Here is a 20,820-nt window from a genome sequence, read left to right as displayed (position 1 = left end):
CAATTCCTTTGTCGGTGGTGAGTTGAGGCTTGGAGGGAATTGTGGCTGATATGATATGAGGAAACATCTGCTTGGGACATTCTTGGAGAGGTTTCCTCATTCATAGAAAGAGACCCAGTGGAAGAGTCAGCCTCTTCTACTGAGCATTATCATCTTGAGAATGACAGCTATATTGTGACTGCAAGCGGAGCCCCAGGATGGCAAAATGGGATGGTGGCTTTGATGGCACTGAGTCACTGAATTAGCCAACTAGGAATGATCCTACTTTGGGACTTCTGTGATGTGAGGTAGTAAACCTTCTTTATTGTTCATGCTATTATTCAGAGCTAAGTTTTCTATGACTGCAATTGAAAGCAGTGCCTTACACGTGGTATGTATTCCACAAATGTAAAGTTGTGCATCATTTAGTCCTTTCCTATCATCTCATATGAGAACATCTGAGAAAACTGGAAAGAAAAATACTTAACTAAATTAAAATAGTCTTGAATAAAACAACTTTTATAACTTGACAGTTCTTTTTTGTTTGTTTTTGCAGAGCTTGCTGATTATGAAATAAAAAAAATCAGTCAGGGCAAAGGCTAGAATAGGTGATAAATGCAACCCATCTGGTGCTATAAGAAATATTGAACATACCAGGAAAAAATACAAATAAATGTAAAGGTTAACTTCATGCCAATATTATCTACTGGAAACTGATGTCTTGTTAAAACTCTAACATGTTTTATTTTCATAAGACACAGTGAAAATAGAAAAATCATAAACCAGTGCAAGAAAAATAAATGGAGGCTACTCCTGGGATTGAAGATTTAGGATTGTTGAATGTTAACAAAACTAGGTTTTGCTTTTTGTTTGTTGCTTTGTTTGTCTTAAAAATCAATGGACAGCCTTTGAGTAAAAGAATCTGCCAAAATATTTCTGGAGAGATTCCTAGGGTCAGTAGAAGAGACTTTCTTCCTCTTTCAGCTTCTTAAGGGACAAAAAATAGAAGTATATAAGATAGCATCTCTAAGCAAATCTACCCATATACCAACTATCTGAAAGAAAGGCTGACATTTCATTGCAAAGAATGTGGAAAGTTAGTTGCTTAAAAGCTAGGTATAAGCAGGTTCTTCTCCAACTCAAACTTCTCCCTGTTCTGGCCTTAAACGAATCTTGGAAGCTTTGTCCTTTGTGGACTGTGTAAGACTTGGACATTAAAACTCACTAGTGTGTCCAATGGACTTGAAAAATAGAAATCCATGGGCTATTGTGGCTTCATGTAGGAGGAAATGAATGCTCATTTAGAATTCTTTACCTAAAGATTAGCAGATAATGCCTGAAGGACTGAGAAAGAGGATCCAGAAGCCTAGCAAAGACCCTCTGTGCGTAGTTGGAACAATGAATACAACTTTATTTCGAGCATCCCCCTGGTTCAAGCCTGAGATGCCTGTCACTGGTTCCTGAATTCCTGACTCCCAGCAGGCAGGACTCCCTCCTTCTGTGCTCAGTCTCAGGGCTGCTCCTCTTACCAGCAAGCCAGGCAGTTTACCCATATGCAACAAGGTCCACCCATCAGCTCAGGATGCATCAGTGACTTGGCCTCCAGCTCTCTAAGTCTGCTTCCAGAAGCTTCCCAAGTGTCTTTCTATGAAGCCACTGAAGGTTGAGAGCCTCCACGTTTCCCTCCCTGGGTAATGAGGTGAACTTACCATCCTCTCGTTTGGAATTTCAGTGAGCTGAAGGCAGATCTCTGCTGCTGGAGACAGCTTGGTGGGAGATTAACTCTTGAGGTAGTGCCTGCCCTTCATATCCCCCCTCCCTGATAGACACACTTGGAACTGGGAGAGGAGTATGGTAGTTTCAGGTAGTCATTATAGAGTTGGGGACCACTGAGGATCCTAAAGAGCAAAACTTTTCTGTTGTACCAAGACTATTTGTAGTTGGTTTGAGAACAGAGTGTTTTGATCTAATACTCCCCAAAGAGCAGTGGGCCCCATCTCAGTTCCTTTGGTACCATGCCCATGTTTCTGTACCATGTCATGACTGTTGAAAGGAGCTTAGGCTTTGGAGATATGCCAATCTGTGTTTGCATGCTGGTTCTGCCACTTACCACCTGGGTAACCTTAAGTTAGTTACTTAGCTTCTCTGAGCCTCAGTTCCTTCAGGTCTAATACTGAGATTATAACTCCCAATTAATAAGGCTGTGGTGGGTTGAAATGAGATAAAGTGTATAAAATGGCTTGCATAGAGTTGGTGCATGGCAAATGCTAGAGAAATGGGTGAATATTATTCCTCCCCATTTATCACATTGCCTTTGACGTGGTTTCATACCATCTGCAGTGTTTGATGACAAGCTTTTGAGAACAGGAACTATTTGTCTTCTATTTTGAGTATCTAACCCTGTACTTGACTCATAGGTATTGCACAATAAATACTTTTTGAATGAATGGAGAAAAGACATTCATGAATCTGAAATTTCCACTCTTCTAAACGTAGAATAATTGAGAAACTGTGTTTCTGTATACTTTTCTTGTTGTTGTCTTTTATGAGATGTATAGATTCATTTTCAGTTTTCTCATTCAGGCAATAGTTTGAAATGATATGCCACCTTCATACTGTATAATAATCATATAGTGAAGTGAAATAGCTACACTACTATCTTAGTCTGTCTCTATATTTGTTTTTTGTTTCCATATTGGTCAGGTCAAGCAAGATGACACTATGGTAATAACCCCCACATCTCAGCGACATGGCAGGTCGCTTTCTCACTCATGCTATATGTTCAATGTGGGGCAGCAGTGAGGGTCAGAATGATAAAGATTTTGTCAGAGCATGTAGAGGAAAGGGAAGCTGGTGAATGACGCACCAGCTCTTAAAGCTTCTCAGAAGGGGCATACATCTGGCAGGGCACGGTGGCTCATGCCTGTAATTCCAGCACTTTGGGAGTCTGAGGTGGGTGGATCATGAGGTCAGGAGTTCAAGACCAGCCTGGCCAAGATGGTGAAACCCCATCTCTACTAAAGATACAAAACTTAGCCGGGCATGGTGGCACATGCCTGTAATCCCAGCTACTTGGAAGGCTGAAGCACAGAATTGCTTAAACCCAGGAGGCAGAGGTTGCAGTGAGCTGAGATCACACCACTGCACTCCAGCCTGGGTGACAGAGAGAGACTATGTCTCAAAAAAAAAAAAAATTGTTGGGGGCATACATTCTTTGCCCTTGAATTTTAGTGGCTGACACAACTTGTATAGCCAGGCAATCCTTTCTTGAGCTCAGAAGGAAGAAAGACAGAAATACTTGGTAAATGGTCTGAGTGGCTCCGCAGTTCAGGAAAGCAGAAGTCACAGCTACAAAATGGAGAGTGGAGGTAAGAGAAGGCAGTCCCCAAAATCTCAGCCTGCAGCAGTACAGCCAGGGAAAAGGAGCTCACTTGGAAGCCCCTAGAAGTCCCAAGAAACCCCAAGAAGCTTGTGAAGACCATCTAAGCCTGCAGCATCTTAAGAAGCTGCCACCCGGCCGGGTGCGATGGCTCACCCCTGTAATCCCAACTTTTTGGGGGGCCGAGATGGGCGGATCACGAGGTCAGGAGATCGAGACCATCCTGGCTAACATGGTGAAACCCCGTCTCTACTAAAATTACAAAAAATTAGCTGGGTGTGGTGGTGGGCGCCTGTAGTCCCAGCTACTTGGGAGGCTGAGGCAGGAGAATGGCGTGAACCCGGGAGGCAGAGCTTGCAGTGAGCCGAGATCATGCCACTGCACTCCAGCCTGGGCGACAGAGGGAGACTCCATCTCAAAAAAAAAAAAAAAAAAAGAAGCTGCCACCTACTAGGTCCACTGCCTACATTTTCAGGCAGGGGATGCTTACCTGGAAGCTGCCATGAACCTCCTACCTGCTGGCTGCCCACACATCTGCCTGTAACTTCCTCCTGGAATAACTCCTTCTCCACCTCCTGCTCCTCTCAGTGGCAGACTCTACCCTGCAACTGCATAGGGAAAGTGATTCTGGGAAATGCAGTTTTGCATCTCCCCTGCCACAGAGGCCACAACATGTCAACATCAGACAATGCAGCAGTTTTAGTTGTCAGAAGGATGATTAGCTGCTTCAAGTTCCAGCCTGTCACCTAGGGACTGTCACCTCTGAAATAATCTGAGAGATTATAGGGGCAGAGTCAGGGGATGAGGGAGGGTGCACATCCAACACAGCAACATGATACTAGCAAGAAAAATTCTGCTAGACAGGAATACGCCAGGGTGATGAAAAGGAGGTACAGCCAGGTTGCTCATGTGAGATATTTCTCTATTTCAATTCTCATTAAAGGTAAAGGACCACCTCCTACATCCTCACTCCTGCTACATGCAAGGGGAAATGAACCTCCAGAGTATAGACAACGGGAACAGTACAGTGAAATGGGTTGGAGGGGGCACAGTCTGTGTTTGGGCTTGGTGTGTGGGCAGAAGAGACCCGGATCCTAGTCCATGCCCTGCTAACTGGTCATGTGACTTGAAGTGGGTCCCTTCCATTTTCAGGGCTTTCTTTCCTACATTGAATTTAAAGTGTGTTTCTTGTCAACAGCATATAGTCGGGTCATGATGTTTTAGCCTCTTTATCAATCTGTCTTCATATTGGTACATTTAGGTTATTTACATTTAAGGTAATTATTGACAAGTTAGCACTTATGTCTCCCATGTTATTATTGTTTTTAATTTGTTTCCTATGGTTCTTATTCGTCTATATCTTGCCTTCCTGTGGTTACTTGAATATTTTTAGGATTCTGTTCTGATTTATTTATAGCTTATTTTGAGTGTATCTGTAGGGTTTAGTGGTCACTCTGGTTATTATCTTAGCCTACTGTATCAATGTTTCCACTGCAAGTGAAGTGTGGAAACCTTATGTCCTTTTAGGTCCCTTTACCTTCCCCGCATTCAAATATCATTGGCCTGAATATTAGCTGTTGTCATAATTTTTGTTTCAGTTATCAAATTATTATTTCTAAAACTCAAGAAAAGAATTATCTACAGTATGTACCCATATTTCTTCTATTTCTGTTGTCCTTTTGTTTTCCCAATGTTCCAAGCTTCCTTCTTCTATCGTTTTGTTTGAAGAGCTTTCTTTAGTCAATCTCTGAAGATAGGTCTGCTACTGACAAATTCCCTTAGTTTCCTTTGTCTGAGAATGTCTTTATTTTCCCCTTTCATTACGTAAGGACAGTTTTGCCACATATCATGGTTGTCAGTTCCTTTCTTTCAGCCCTTGAAAAATGTTGTGCCACTGCCTTCTGGCCTCCATAGTTTCTGATGAAAAATTCAAACTGATGCTCCTCTGTAGGTAATGTATCATTTTTCTCTAGTTGCTCTAAAGATTTTTTTCCTTTATCTTTAGTTTTCAGAAATCAAATTGTGATGTATCTTGGCACAGATTTCTTTGGTTTGTCCTATTTGGGGTTTTCTCAGTTTCGTAATTCTGTAGGTTAATATCTTTCACCAAATTTGGGAAGTTTTCAGCTATTATTCCTTCAAACATTCTTTTATCCCAAGTCTCTTTCTTTTCTTCTTCTGAAGATCCAATGATGCAACTAAGTTTCATTTTTTCATGAGGCTCTTTTCACTTTTTTGCCTTTGCTATTTTCTCTCTGTTATTCATTGGGTAAATTCTATTGATTTGCCATCTAGTTCACTGATTCTAACCTTTGTCTTCTCCACTCTACTACTGAGATTGTCAGGCAACTTTTTCATATCTGTTCTTGTATTTTTCTGTAGTATAATTTCCATTTGGGTTTCCCCTTTCCTCCCTCCCTCCCTCCCTTCCTTCATTCCTTCCTTCCTTCCTTCCTTCCTTCTTATATGGCAAATGAAATTTTATATATATATGTGTATATATATATATATATTTACTGTGTACAAGATGACATTTTAAAATATGTATACATTGTAGAATGGCTAACTCAAGCTAATGAACACATGCATTACCTCATATACCGTCTTTTATAGTGAGAACACTTAAAATCTACTTTCATAGCAATTTTCAGGAATATAATACATGGTTATTAGCTACAGTCACAATGTTGTACAATAGATCTCTTGGACTCTTTTCTCCTATCTAGCTGAAATTTTGTATCTTTTGACCAATATTTCTCCAACCCCCTGAGTTTCTTTTTTTATAGCATCTATTTCTTTGCTGAGATTTTTATTTTTTCATTCACTTTAAGAAAGTTTGTAGTTGATTATTGAAGCATTTTTATGAAGGTGGCTTTAAATTTCTTGTCAGAAAATTCCAACATCTGATTCATCCTGGGGTTGGAATCAGTTCATTGTCTTTTCTTACTCAAGTTGAAATTTTTCTGGTTCTTGGTACAGTGGGTGACATTGATTGTGTCCTGGACCTTTTGTCTATTATGTTAGAAGACTCTGGTTATATTTAACTCTTATATTTTAGTAGGCAGTCACCCTGTTTAGATTTAGCATGGGAGTACTGACCTACTTCTAAGGGCTGTGCTTCCAATGAGAGTTAAATTTTCTGGGCATTTTAGCTTTGTTTAGCTGGTGCTGCTGAGGCTCCCCCAGGTCCCTGCTGAGGTCCAGCCTGAGGGGCTGGAGGGTCTCTTGGTTGCAGAGGGGAGTTGCAGGCTTGCAGGGACCAACAGGCTTCCCAGGCCAGGTGCTTATTGTAGGGTCCCACCTACTGATCCCCTCTAGCTCCCCTGGTGCCTCCACAAAGAGGCTTCCTGAGCCAGACCACTTGTTATGTTGTGGTTTTCCCTTCGCGGTCCCCCTAACATCCATCTCTCAGTAGGTAAAGGGAGTGTTGGACCTGTGCAGAGAGACTGTTTCCCCTTGCTGCTTAGTTATTGCGGCTCCTGATCAACCTACTTGCCAGCAGTTTGGGGCTCATCTGATATTGGAGAAACTCCCACTTGATCTGGGGGAGGAGTGATTACCTTCTGTTGTTAGGTTGGGCCGCCTCAGACATGATTTCTCTAGGAAGCCTTTCAGATCCACTTCCCCACATGACTCCCGATTCCCCAGCACCCTCTCCTCCCCCTGCCTGGCACAGGACTGCAATCATTATTTCCTCACCTCTTCCTCCCATCATGCTGCAAATCCCCTGAATCAGAGGCTGCACCTCAGAGGCTCTGTGGCTCCAGTGCCTTGCAAAGTGGCCACCACTCAGGGGGCCAGGATAAATATGACCAGATAAGTACAGAGTAAAGTCAATCATGGAAAAAATATCTGAGTTTTAATACAGCTTCTTGCAGATAATGTCTTCCCAACGGACTGAGAACACAGGGATTGAAGACACCTGAGAAGTTGCTAGAAGGGATATTTTTCAGAAACTAGGCCTCTTGTGGCTCCTCTAATCTCACCAAGGAGGTAATCACTACCTTCAGGACACTTAGACTAGAGTGGCCTGGCTTATCATAGGCCTTAATGTATGACTAATAGGGTTCGGAATTGGCCTTTATGAGGAAACTGGCTTCCATTTAATTTACTTCATGTAAAGATAATTTTTTTTCAGCTTACCCTCTATTCTATCTCTCTAGCAAGCATCTAACATGTCCCTACATCTGAACCACATGCTTCAGAGGCACTCAGAGCTAGAGGGAATGTAGACAGGCTTGCTTGTAGCCCATGCCTTCATTCCCCATGCGTGAGGAAAGGACATGCCTGAATTTCCACCCAGGGGGAGATGGGCACTAGTACCTAGGTCCCCTTCCTGGACCAAGTTTTCCTGCAGGTCGTCCCACCACCACCTTACCATTTTGGTATAAATGTGGCCATAAACTATTTTTAAAAATTATTTTTAAATTTTTTATTTTTATCTTTATTTTATTTTATTTTATTTTTGTGGAGACAGGGTCTCATTATGTTGCCCAGGCTGGTCTTCATCTCCTGGTCTCAAGCAATCCTCTTGCCTCGGCCTCCCAAAGTCCTGGGATTACAGGTGAGATCCACCACACCAAGCTGCAAGAAACTATTCATCACAGGAGATAAGAACACAGAAAATTAGCAAATGAAAAGAAAAAGCCACTTGTAACTCTATCACCCAAAGGTAACCATTGTTGATTACAGTACATATTTCTCTATTTCTTTTTTTTTTTTTTTTTTGAGATGGGGTCTTGCTCAGTTGCCAGGCTGGAGTGCAGTGGCATGATCTCGGCTCACTGCAACCTGCGCCTCCCAGGTTCAAGCAATTCCCCTGCCTCAGCCTCCTGAGTAGCTGGGACTACAGGTGTGTGCCACCATGCCTGGCTAATTTTCGGTATTTTAGTAGAGACAAGGTTTCACCATGTTGGCCAGGCTGGTCTCGAACTCCTGACCTTATGATCCACCTGCCTCGGCCTCCCAAAGGGCTGGGATTACAGGCATGAGCCACTGCACCCAGCCCATATTCCTCTGTTTCTAAAAGCTACATTTTAGAATTTAAATTAGAGTTATGCTAATCATCCACTTTTGTATCCATTTTAGAAAAATTGATAATATATTTGTGAAAACGTCTCATATCATTCACCTTCTATGATAGAACTGTTAATAGTAGGAAAATAATCCTAGTAGCTAATTCATATCGAAGGCCTCATACATATCAGCGAATTTTCTAAGGCCTGTGCTTCTCATCTTAGCCCCGCTTTGTGGATGAGGATGTAGAGGCACAGAAATGCTAAGTACTTGCCCAGGGTGCACCGCTGGCAAGGCCCAGGCAGCCTGGCTTGAAAATCTGGGTTCTCAGCCTGTCCGCACCTCTTACCTAGGCATGTCATCCAACCACTGTGTATAGTTAGGATGCTTATAATTCTCACTCCAATTAACAACACTGTTCCCAGTGACTTTGTATGGACATGTTTGTATAAATTTCTGACTATTTTTGTAGCACAAATTCCTAGAAGTGCAATTGTCAAATTGACCATGTTGAAGAGTTTTGTTACGCATGTGCCAAATTCTCCACTCTGAGACGTGAAGAGCTTGAGAATGTCTTTGTCACTCACCCCTCTGGGCTGGGAAAGCACAACTTGTCACTTTTGCAGTTGTCCCTAAGATTAATGAAAAGATGCTGTGATGGTTAATAATTAGGTGTCAACTTGATTGGATTGAGGGTTGCCTAGATGGCTGGTGAAGTATTGTTTCTGGGTGTGTCTGGGAGGGTTTTGTCAGAGGAGATTGACATTTGAGTGGGTGAACTGGGAGCAGAAGACCCTCCCTCAATGTGGGTTGGCACCACCCAATCGGCTGCCAGCATGGCTGGCACAAAGCAAGCAGAAGAAAGTGGCATGGTTTTGCTTGCTGAATCTTCCAGCTTCCTTCTTCTTCCAGTGCCGGACACTTGCTTCTGCTCCTCTTGCCTTTGGACATCAGATTCCAGGTTCTTTGTCCTTTGGACTCTGGGGCTTGCACCAGTGGCTTGCCAGGGGCTCCTGGGCATTTGGCCACAGACTGAAGGCTGCATTGTCAGCTTCCCTGGTTTCGACGCTTTGGTACTCAGACTAAGCCACTATTGGCTCCTCTTTCCCCAGCTTGCAGATGGCCTTTCGTGGGACTTTGCCTTGTAATCATGTGAGCCAATTCTCCCTAATAAACTCCTTCTCATATATACATATATCCTATTTGTTCTGTCCCTCTGGAGAATCCTGATTAATACAGATGTTCTCACTAACCAGTTCTACAAGAAGCTGGATCCTCATCTTTTCAGCAAACCTCCTTCATTCAACAGATAGCTCAGGCCAGGCACTAGGAACATGAAGACCAAAGCATAAACCTTGTAAACAAATGGTTGCACTGGACTAGAGTGTTTCCATCAGTTGAGGGTTTTCCTGTGTCACTCTTCATGCAGGTATATCATCTTACCGTTAGGTAGATATTCTCATTTTCCAGATGAGGAAACTGAGGCTTGAAGAGTGTGACTTGCCAGGGTGCCCACTGGAAAGAAGCAATATCCAGACCCCAGGTATCTGACTCCCACACTTCCTGGGCTCTTAACTATTGCTCCTACTGCCAGGGACAGCAGACACAGGATGGAAGCAGGGACAGGGGCCGAGGCAGAGGCAGAAATGAAGTGAGTATCTGTGAGTTGCTGGCAGGAAAGGCAGAGGGAACCATTTAGGCAACTGTCTGGGGCCCAGCATGAACTGGCAGGCTCTGGGCCTGAAATGTGGGGGTGAGTGTGGAGGGAGAGTAGCCACAAGGGAAGAATCTGGAGGGGAGATCAGGTCACCAGTGGTTGGGTTATGGCTGTCTCTCTGGATGTCAGTCTAGTGAAAAGCTCATTTTACTAGACTGCGGCCTCTGCAATTCCCCTCAATCACATTTGTGTGTGAACACAGGTATGCCAGGGAAAGTGGTGGTTGTTCAAGTTGCATGGATCTATTGCAGTAGTCCGGGTGAGAAACTGCTTCTGGTTTCTCCACTTTCACTTTCCCTCCTGATGAGGTCATCTCTCACTTGGAGGTAAGGTGACCAACTCAGCCCGGGTTGCCTGGGACATTCTGCTTTTAGCATTAAATGTTCTGCATCCCGGGAGACCCCTCCGTTCAAAGCTATCTGGGGGACAATCATTTTGGGGGCTGGGAAGCAGAGCAGCCAGTTTCAGAGGGGCATGGGTCTGGGTCGGTGCAGTTGCAGCCAAGAACAAAGGGACTGGTCTCAAGTCAGTCAAATCTGGATGGAATCCAGTGACGGGGGTAGGCGTTGAATGTGAAATCCGTGCGTCAAGCTTCATGAGGGCAGGCTTGGGTCGGCTTGTCCTCAGCTGCCTCAGCAGTGCTCCGCGAAGTGTAACACATCAGAGCTGCCTAACTCAGGGCTGAAAGGGACCAAAAGAGATTGTTGCGTTCAGATCGACTTAGATCTTCACAGCTGCTTCACGTCTGCTCACTGGGTCCACATGATTCCTAGTAAAGCCTTTTTCAGTTTTCCATGGTTGCTGTGACACCTCAAGTGACCTCCCCTTTAGCCCTGAGTTCTACGAAGGTGTAATGTATCTTGCAGCAGGTAAACACCCTCAAGTGGCAAGTGCACAGAAAAATAAATTTTGCAATGGGCCAGAAAATGGAGCCTCAGTCTACTCTTGTGTGTGTCTGGTCCCCTGCTCACAGTAGATAGGAACACACATATTTTGGTTTGAATTAAACCCTGGGAAAATTTGCAGCATTTATGAAAAATGTGGGAAATGTGAGTGGATGCAGCGTGGCTGTTTGCCTGGGCCAATTCTGCCCCAGCCAACGATCTGAGGAAGGAAGAAGGGTTACTTAGCACAGCGGCAACGCTTGTTCAATGGCCTTCACATCCTCCCTGGGTACCCCCAAAGCGGCCCCTTCCTTGGTTGTGCTCTAGAAATACAGAATAAGTAAACATCCAGGTGTCCTTGATGGAAAGATGAATAACTTTCCACTCTGAATGGGGAAGGGGCCAAGCTGGTCCTGTGGTGCTGCTGCCCAGAGAACAGTGGAGGAGACAGAGATCTCTTAACTGTTTCAAACACAGGCGGGATTGATACTCCATTTTTTTTGAAAAAAAATTTTTTTTTTGAGACACAGTCCCACTCTGTTGCCCAGGCTGGAGTGCAGTGGCACAATCTCGGCTCACTGCAACCTCTGCCTCCTGGGTTCAAGCAATTCTCATGCCTCAGCCTCCTGAGTAGCTGGAACTACAGGTGCCCGCCACCATGCCTGGCTAATTTTTGTATTTTTCGTAGAGACAGTTTCACCGTGTTGGCCAGGATGATCTCAGTCTCCTGAACTCAGGTGATCTGCCCACCTCAGCCTCCCAAAATGCTGGGATTACAGGTGTGAGCCACCGTGCCCAGCCTGATATTTAATTTTGAACTTCCATGTTGTATTGGAAATAAAGCATTAAATTGTTAATTCTTGCTTCTCTATTCACCCGTGACCTTAAGGTGTTAGGGTCTGTGGATGAATCAACCATTTGGACTCTTACATCTGCTCCTTTATGTGCAGAAACACAGGGAGAGAGTCAAGCCAAGTGCGGCTCCCCTACTTGGCCAATGTGAATAGTAAAGTGCTGTGTGAGTGGAAAAGCAGTTAGATTTCCTAACTTTACTACACTGGGATTTCCCAGGAAAGCACAGGCTGGAAGAATGATGTAATGGGTATATTTTACATATGTTTTCAATAAGCATGCCTGTGTGGGCCATTCATGGAAAAACCCTTCCCATCAAGTCACACCACGTGGGACAGAGTCTGGCAGTACCAGCAGTGCCCCAGTCCCCATAGTCTCCTGTTTCAGTCGTTAAAAGGCGATTTTGACTCTCCCTTTGTAGAAATCATACAGCTTCTGTATCTGATCAGAAGGTCAACAACACAATCATCTGATGTTAGGCTAGAGGTAAGAACAGCCGGCTCTGGGGTTCCCGGAGGAAGGAATTGCCAATCTCGCCTGAAAGAACTGGTAAGAACCCTCCTCCATTCCCTGACACTGAAACATGGGAAGAAGCTCAGTCCAGCTGTTCTTGATCAAGGCTGGGACTTGTCAAGTGTCATGAGTAGCCTGCCCAGACAGAAATGAGCGGGGGAGAGGGTTTTCTTAGTTTGGACCAATTCTGGCATCATAGTTTTGATCACAGTTGTCTGTTGGAGTGAACTTGGCAGAGAAATACAGTAAGTCTGTAGAAACTCAGTCAGGATGGAATGCACAGTCTTCAATGGGGAATTTTATAAAGACCACAAAATAGCTCAGTTAAGACTGACTAACCCCACACAATGGCAGAAGAACGACATAGTTTCATTTATTCCACAAATATTTGCTGAGTGTCTGCCCCAGGCCAGGCACTGTCGGCACTGAGGAGATAATAGTGTACGGTGTGGCTGCAGCCCCTGGGTTCAAAGGGCTTGTATTTTAGATGGAAAGACCCACGACTAAACAGTCCATGACACAAATGTGTAAAAAGTATGGTGGAAAGGGAAACTCAGGGTTGCACAGCCAACACACACCTACCTGGTCTAGGTGCAGCAGAAGATAGCCCTTGAGCAAATGGCTATTGGAAGATTTATTTTTAAAAAATTACTTGTGGTAAGATCATGTAACATTAGATCTACCCTCTTAATAAATTTTTGAGTGTATGCTACAGTATAGTGAACCACAGGCAGAATGCTGTACAGCAAATCTCTAGAACTTACTCATCTTGCCTAACTGAAACTTTATACCCATCAAGTCACAACTTCCTATGTCCCTCTTCCCCCAGCTCCTGGCAACCACCATTCTACTTTCTGCTTATAAGAGTTTGACTATTTTAGATACCTTTTTAAGTGACATCATGCAGTATTTGTCCTAAATATGTCACTTGCTATAATGTCCTCGCTTTCATCCAAGTTGTTGCATATGGCAGGATTTCCTTCTTTTTAAGGCTTAATAATATTCCATTGTCCATATGTACCCTATTGTCTTTATCCATTCACCTGTTGATGGATATTTAGTTTGTTTCCACATGTTGGCTATTGCGAATAGCCAACAGTAAACATGGGAGTGCAAATATCTCTTTGAGATCCTAATTTTACTTCTTTTGGATAAATACCCAGAAGTGAGATTGCTGTACCATAAACTAATTCTATTTCTAATTTTGTGAGGAATTAAGATACCGTTTTCCATAGTGGCTTCATCATTTTATATTCTCACTAACAGTGTAAAAGGGCTCTAATTTCTCCAATGCTTACCTTCTGTGTTTTTTTGGGGGGATAGGGGTGGGGGTGGGGGCGGGTAATAGCCCTCCTAACTAGTGTAATGTGACATTTCATTGTGGTTTTCATTTGCATTTTCCTGATGATTAGTGATGTTGAGCATGTTTTCATGTACTGTTTGGCCATTCGTATGCCTTCCTTAAAGAAATGACTACTCAAGTGCTTAGCCCATTTTTAAATTGGGTTATTTCACTTTTTTACTATTGAGTTATATGAGTTCCTTATAAATTTTGAATATTAACCCCTTGTCAGATATATAGTTTGCAAATATATTTTCCCGTTCCATAGGTTACCTTTTCACTCTGCCAATTGTTCCGTTGCTATGCAGAACAGCATTCCCATTTTCCCATTCCACAGGTTACTTTTTCACTCTGTTAATTGTTCCGTTGCTGTATTCTGTTTTTGTTTTTGTGTACTGTGCTTTTGGCATCATATCCAATAAATCACTGCCAATACCAATATAATGAAGGATCCTCTGTATGTTTTCTCCTGGGAGTTTTACAGTTTAAGTCTTTAATCCACCTTGAGATCATTTAAAAAAACTTTATCAAGGAAAAATTTACATAAAATATAATTTACCAACTTTAAGTGAACAGCTCCATGAGTTTTGACAGTTGATTGTAAATACTGTCACAATCAAGATGTAGAACTTGCCCACCACCCCCAAAAGTCAGGCTTGTGAGCCTTTGCTGTCAATCCTGACCTCACACCCCCAGTTTTAGATGACCACAGATCTATTTTCTATGATCAAAGATTAGATTTGTGCTTTCTAGAGTTTAATATAAATGGACTAATATATAATATATTCTTTTATGTCTGGGGTCTTTTCCTCAACATGACGTTTTTGACATTCATCGATGTTGTTGAATGTGTTAGTGGCTCATTCCTCTTGATTGCTGAGTAGTATTTTACTGTATGAATATTCCATACTTTAGTTATTTGTCTTTGGATGGACATTTGAGTTGTTTCTACTTGTAGGCTATTATGTATAAAACTGCTATAAATATTCATGTATAAGTCTTTGTATAAACACGTTTTATTTTTCTTAGGTAAATACCTAGAGCACAATGCTGGGTGTTAGGGTAAGTGTCTGTTTAATTTTATAAGAAACTGCCCAACTGTTTTCCAAAATGCTTGTGTCATTTTATGCCCCACCGTAACTGTAGGGCAGTTCCAATTGTTCCATCTCTTGGTTATCTAAAGCTGCATAACAAATTACTACACATGTAGAGACTTGAAAGAACATGCTTGATGACCCACAGTTTCTGCAGGTCAGGAATCTTGGCATGGGTTACCTGGGCCCAAGGTTTCAGAGTCTTTCATGAGGCTGCAATTAAGGGCAAGACTTATCTGAGGCTGGAGTGGAGAAGGATTCACTCCTAAGCTCTTGGGACTGTTGTCAGGATTCACTTCCTTGTGCACTGTTGGAACTCAGTTCCTTGCCAGATGTTGCCTGGTGGTCACACTCAATTCTTTGTTTCATGGGGTGCTGCATAATGTAGCCTACTTCATCACATCCAGCGAGGGAGACAGTCATTAGAGAGAATGGGCTGGCAAGACGGAAGTTACGGTCTTCTGTGATGTAAACACGGAAGTGACGTCCAATCCCCTTCACCATATTCTATTGGTTAGAAGCAAGTCATAGGTCCCACCCATACTCAAGGGGAGGGACGCCACAAGGACAGGAGTACCAGGAAGGGGGGTCAGTGGGGACCATGCATCATCCACCTTTTTTTAATTTTAGCCTTTCTGGTGGTCGTGTGCTGCCATGCTGCAACTTTAATTTGCATTTTCCTGATTATTAATATGTTGAGCATCTTTTCACAAGCTTATTTGCCATTTGTATATCTTTTTCTGCAAAGTGTGTGTTCATATCTTTTGCTCTCATCTCTTTTATTTTTTTATTTTTTTTAGATGGAGTCTTGCTCTGTCATCCAGGCTGGAGTGCAATGGCGTCATCTGGGCTCACTGCAACCTCCACCTCCTAGGTTCAAGCACTTCTCGTGCCTCAGCTTCCCAAGTAACTGGGATTACAGGTGCACACCACCACACCTGGCTAATTTTTTTGTATTTTTGGTAGAGATGGGGTTTCACCATGTTGGCCAGGCTGGTCTTGAACTCCTGACCTCAGGTGATCTGCACACCTCAGCCTCTCAAAGTGCTGGGATTACAGGTGTGAGCCACCACCCAGCCTCATCTCTTTTAAAATTGAGTTCTTTTTATTTTATTTCTGAGTTACAGAAGCTTTTTATTTCTTTTGGATATAAGCCCTTTGTCAGATAATGTTTTTGCTAACATTTTATCACAATCTGTAGTTTTCCTCTTCATTTTCTTAGTGGTGTCTTTTGATGGGCAGAATTTTAAATTTCGATTAAGGGTAATATATCAATTTTTCCTTTTGGGTTATTGCTCTCTGTGTCCTGTCTATGAAATTGTTGTCTAATCCCAAATCAGTAAGATAGTCTCCTATGTTTCCTTCTAAAATATATACGATTTTAGCTTTTACATTTAGGTCTGTGATCCACTTTGAGTTTTACTCTGAGTGTTCTTTGTTTATGCTGAGACGGCACCGAGCTTCATTTTCTTCCCTCAGTATGAATACACAGTTGTTCTAGCACCATATGTTCAAAGGACTCTCTTTTTCCTGTTCAATTATCTTAGCCCCTGTGTTAAAAATCAATTAATGTGTGGATCCACATCCCTGTGTTAAAAATCAATTAATGTGTGGGTCCACATTTGGCATTTTTTAATGTTCTGTTGGTCTCACATTGTCTTCATCACTGTAGGTTTCAGTGAGTCTTTAAATCAGGCAATGCGAAGACTCTAATGTTTGTCTTCCTTTTCAAAGGAATATCTTGGGATATTCTAGGTTCTTTGCATTTCCATACACATTTGAGAATTATCTAATATTTATAAAAGAAGCCTGTTAAGAACTTGATTAGGATTGTATTGAGACTATAGATTCATTTGAAGAGAATTGCCATCTTAATAATATTAAGTCTTTTTTCCCATTTATGTGGTATAGTTATTTATTTAGGTGTCCTTTAATTTATATCAGCAATGTTTTATAGTGTACGGGGTGTAGATCCTTAATATATTTTGTCTAAACATATTGCTATGTGTGTCATTTGGTGATATTGTAAATAGTGTTGTTTTTAAATTTCAATTTATTTTTTGAGACAGGGTCTCCCTGTGTCACCCAGGCTGGAGTGCAGTGGTATGATCATAGCTCACCACGGCCTCCAATTCCTGGGCTCAAATGACCCTCCTGCCTCAGCCTCCAGAGTAGCTGGGACTACAAATGCATGCCACCATATCCAGCCAGATTTCAATCTTCAATTGTTTGTTGCTAGTAAATGGAAATACAGTTCATTTTGTTTACTGGCCTGTGATTTTTACCCCATGTCCCTGTTACACTTCAGTTTGTCAGTCCCAGCAGCTTTTTTGCAGATTCTAAAAATCTTCTTTGTATATAAATATATTGTTTCTCAATAATGACAATTATACTTCCTCCTTTCCAATCTGTATGCCTTTTATATCTTTTATTCTTTGTCTTCATACACTGACTATGACATCTAGTATGATGTTGCATAAACCCCTAAAAGTAGACATACTGCCTGGTTGCTGCGCTTAGGAGGGAATTCATCATTCCTCTTGCTATGATGGTGGTTGTAGGTTTTTCAGAGATGCCTTTTATCGTGTTGAGAAAGTTGTCTTCTATTCCTAGTTTCCTGAGAGTTTTTTCTTAATTGGATTTTTAATTTTGTCAAATAATTTTCTTGCATCTATTGGTTTTGCTTTATTTTTTAATATGGTGAATTTACATTGATAATTTTCCAATGTTAAACGTTGAATTCCTGAGATGAAACCCAAGAATTATTATTTTCATATATTACTGGAATTAATTTTCTAAAATTCTCTTAGAATTTTTGAATCTATGTTCATGAGGGGTATTTGTCTGTAATTTCCTTTTCTTACAATGTCTTTGTCTCGTTTTGGTATCAAAGTAAGAAGGCTGATTCCATGAATTAATTGGGACATGTTCCTTCCCCCAATTTCTGAAAGGGTTTGAGTAGGAATGGTGTTTCTTCTTTAAGTCTTTCAGAAAATCTGCCAGTAAAGTCATCTGTGCTTGTGATTTTCTTTGTGAGAATGTTGTAATTATGAATTCAATTGCTTACATAGACATAGAATTATTCGACTGTCTATTTTTTTTCTTGAGACAATTTTGGTACTTGTGTTTTTCAAGGAATTTTTCCATTTTATTTATGGTTGTTGAATTTATTGGCATAAAGTTGTTCATGTATTTTCTTATCTTTTGGCTTTATTGAGCTATAATGACACCATAAATTGTGCATATTTAAGTGTATACTGATACATTTTGACATATGTCCAGCCCTGTGAAACCATTTTAGGGCTAGTTTTTACCCACTCTATAGGCAAGACCCTTCCAAGTGTTCTCTCCATCACCTCTCTCATATGAGGTTTTCATGTCCGGCTGGTTAGAATAAACACCATTTCTGTCCTGGTGTGAGCTCCAGGTAATGTTCCCCCTCATCTTTTTGGGCGGTTCCTTCTCTAGCCTCACCCATTTCACTGACCAGTGCTCTATCAGTAGTTGATGAGGAGCCTGCAGACCTCCAGAGTCCTCTCTGCAGCTCTCTCCTCTCTGGCAGTCTGCCCTGTAATCTCTCGCCTCTGTCCTCTCCCTGGGCCATCAGCTCCATCTCTTCCACTCAGGGAATCCACTAGGTTCTAGCTGTGTGCCCCATCCCTGCACCAGGGCCTGGAGACCCTCTTCAGGCAATAAGACAGGCAATTATAGGCCTCACCTCACTGGTTTCCTGTCTCTCAGGGATTGTTGTCCTTTGTTGCCTGATCCGATGTCTCAAAAGCCATTGTTTCACGTATTTTGTCTAGTGTTTTATGTTGTTTCATGCAGGAAGGAAAATCCTGTGCAGTGTTTCATGGGTTTTGAATCTCTGCTATTGGGTACAAACATTTTTAGTGTTGTTAAGTATTCTTGCTAAATTGATCTGTTTATCGTTTTTGAAATATTCCTCTTTGTCTTTGGTTTATGCCTTGTTTGGAAGTCTGAAGAATGTCTTTGTCTGACATGAATAGAACTACTCCAGCTTTGTTATGAATAGTGTTGGCATGGTATAGCTTTTCTATATTCTTTAACTTTTGATCTCTCTCTCTCTCTCTGTGTGTGTGTGTGTGTTCCCTTGAATAATAGTTCTTGCTTTTTCACTCAGTCTTATAATCTTTGCTTTTAATTGGAGTGCTTAGACTAACCCTTTTCAATAGACCTTTCTGTGATAATGAAAATGTTATAAATGTTCCGTCTAATGTGCTACCCACTAACCAGATGGCTACTGAGCACTTGAAATATGGCCACAGTGACCGAGGAACTAAATTGATTTTATTAAAGTTTAAGTTAATTTCTTTTTTTCTTTTTTTTTTTTTTTTTGACAGAGTCTCACTCTGTCACACAGGCTGCAATGCAGTGGTGCGATCTTGACTCATTGCAGCCTCACCAACCCAGGCTCAAGCGTAGCTGGGATTACAGGCGCACGCCACCGTGCCCAGCTAATATTTTAAATTTTTTTGTAGAGCCTGGGTTCCACCATCGCACCCAGGCTGGTCTTGAACTCCTGGGCTCAAGCTATCTGTCTGCTTTGGCCTCCCAAAATGCTGGGATTACAGACATGAGCCATTGCACCCAGCCTTAACTTAATTTCAATAGCCCCACGTGGCTAGTGGTTTGTGTACTAGACAGAATAGGTTGACTATATTTAATGTAATTATTGATGTGATTTGGGATTAATTTTACCATCTTGTTATTTGTTTTTAATTTTTAAAAATATTTTTCATCTCTTCTTTATTCGTTTTTTCTCTTTCCCTCCTGATTTTGTATTGAATTTATTTCTTTATTTTACCATTGGCTTATTAGCTATATCTTTCATTTTGTTTTGTGGTTGTTCTAGGATTTATCATATTCTTCTTTAATTATAAAGTCTACCTTTAATTAATATCATATCGGCCAGGCATGGTGGCTTACACCTGTAAGTGCTTTGGGAGGCCAAGGTGGGAGGATCTCTTGAGCTCCAGAGTTTGAGGCTGCAGTGAGCTGTCATTGCGCCATTGCACTCCAGCCTGGGTGACATAGCGAGAGCCTGTCTCAAAAAAAAAAAAAAGGAGATATTATACCTCCTCACATATAAGGACCTTATAATATACTTCCCTTCCCGACATCTTTTGTGTTATTATTATGTATTTAATTCCACTTATGTTATAAACCTCACAATATATTGTTATTTTTACTTTAAACAATTACCTTTTAAGGAATTTTTAAAAATTATAATAAGAAAAAAGTATTTTTATTTTTATTTTTTATAGAGATTGGATCTCCCTATGTTGCCCAGACTGGTCTTGAACCCCTGGGCTAGAGGAATCCTCCTTCCTTGGCCTCCCAAAGTGCTGGGATTACAGGCATGAGCCATGGTGTCCAGTCTAGAGTATTTTTATTTATCACATATTTAAATTTTCTGTTGCTTCTCGCTTCTTTGTGTAGATCCAAGTTCCCATCTGGTATCATTTTCCTTCACCTTGAAGGACTTTATTTACCACTTCTCATGGTGCAGGGCTGCTGATGAAGAATTAGCTTTTTTTTTTTTTTGTCTGAAAGTCTCCAATTTTTTTTTTTCATTTAGAAGATATTTACCGGGTATATAATTCTAGGGTGACTCTTTTTTGTCATCTTAAAATACTTTGTTCCAATCTCTTGTGTTCTTAATAATTTCTTACTAGGCATTTACTGTGATTCCTGTCTTTGTTTCTTTGTGTGTAGTGTCATTTTTGCCTGGTTGTCCGGAAGATAATCTTTCCAGGACTCGGTTTCAGGAATTTGATTATGACGTTCACCTGGTGTCGTGTTCTTTGTGTTTATCCTCCTGGGCTTGGTGATCTTCATGGATCTCAAGATTTATAGTTTTTGCAAAATTTGGAAAAAATTATTTCTTCTTGTATTTTCCCCTCTACATCTTCCCCTTTTTTTGGAATTCCAATTGTGAATATATTAGACTGCCTGATTTGTCTCACAAGTCACTGATATTTTGTTCATTTTTAAAGTTTTTTTTCTCTTTCTATTCTACA

General features: G+C 41.5%; 1 long non-coding RNA gene across 1 annotated transcript; it reads right to left on the bottom strand.

Moving 5' to 3' along the window:
* Positions 1 to 7,765: 7,765 nt before the first annotated feature.
* On the bottom strand, positions 7,766 to 15,209 carry LOC105373508 (uncharacterized). The gene is made up of 2 exons (XR_007087156.1): positions 13,956 to 15,209; positions 7,766 to 7,952 (listed from the first exon to the last, which is right to left on the bottom strand). It is a non-coding gene; the product is annotated as an uncharacterized LOC105373508 (long non-coding RNA).
* Positions 15,210 to 20,820: the final 5,611 nt, after the last annotated feature.

The sequence above is a fragment of the Homo sapiens genome, chromosome 2 (assembly GCF_000001405.40).
Source record: "Homo sapiens chromosome 2, GRCh38.p14 Primary Assembly".
In the NCBI taxonomy this organism is placed as follows: Eukaryota; Metazoa; Chordata; class Mammalia; order Primates; family Hominidae; genus Homo; species Homo sapiens.
This window is presented reverse-complemented; position numbering and strand designations above follow the sequence as displayed.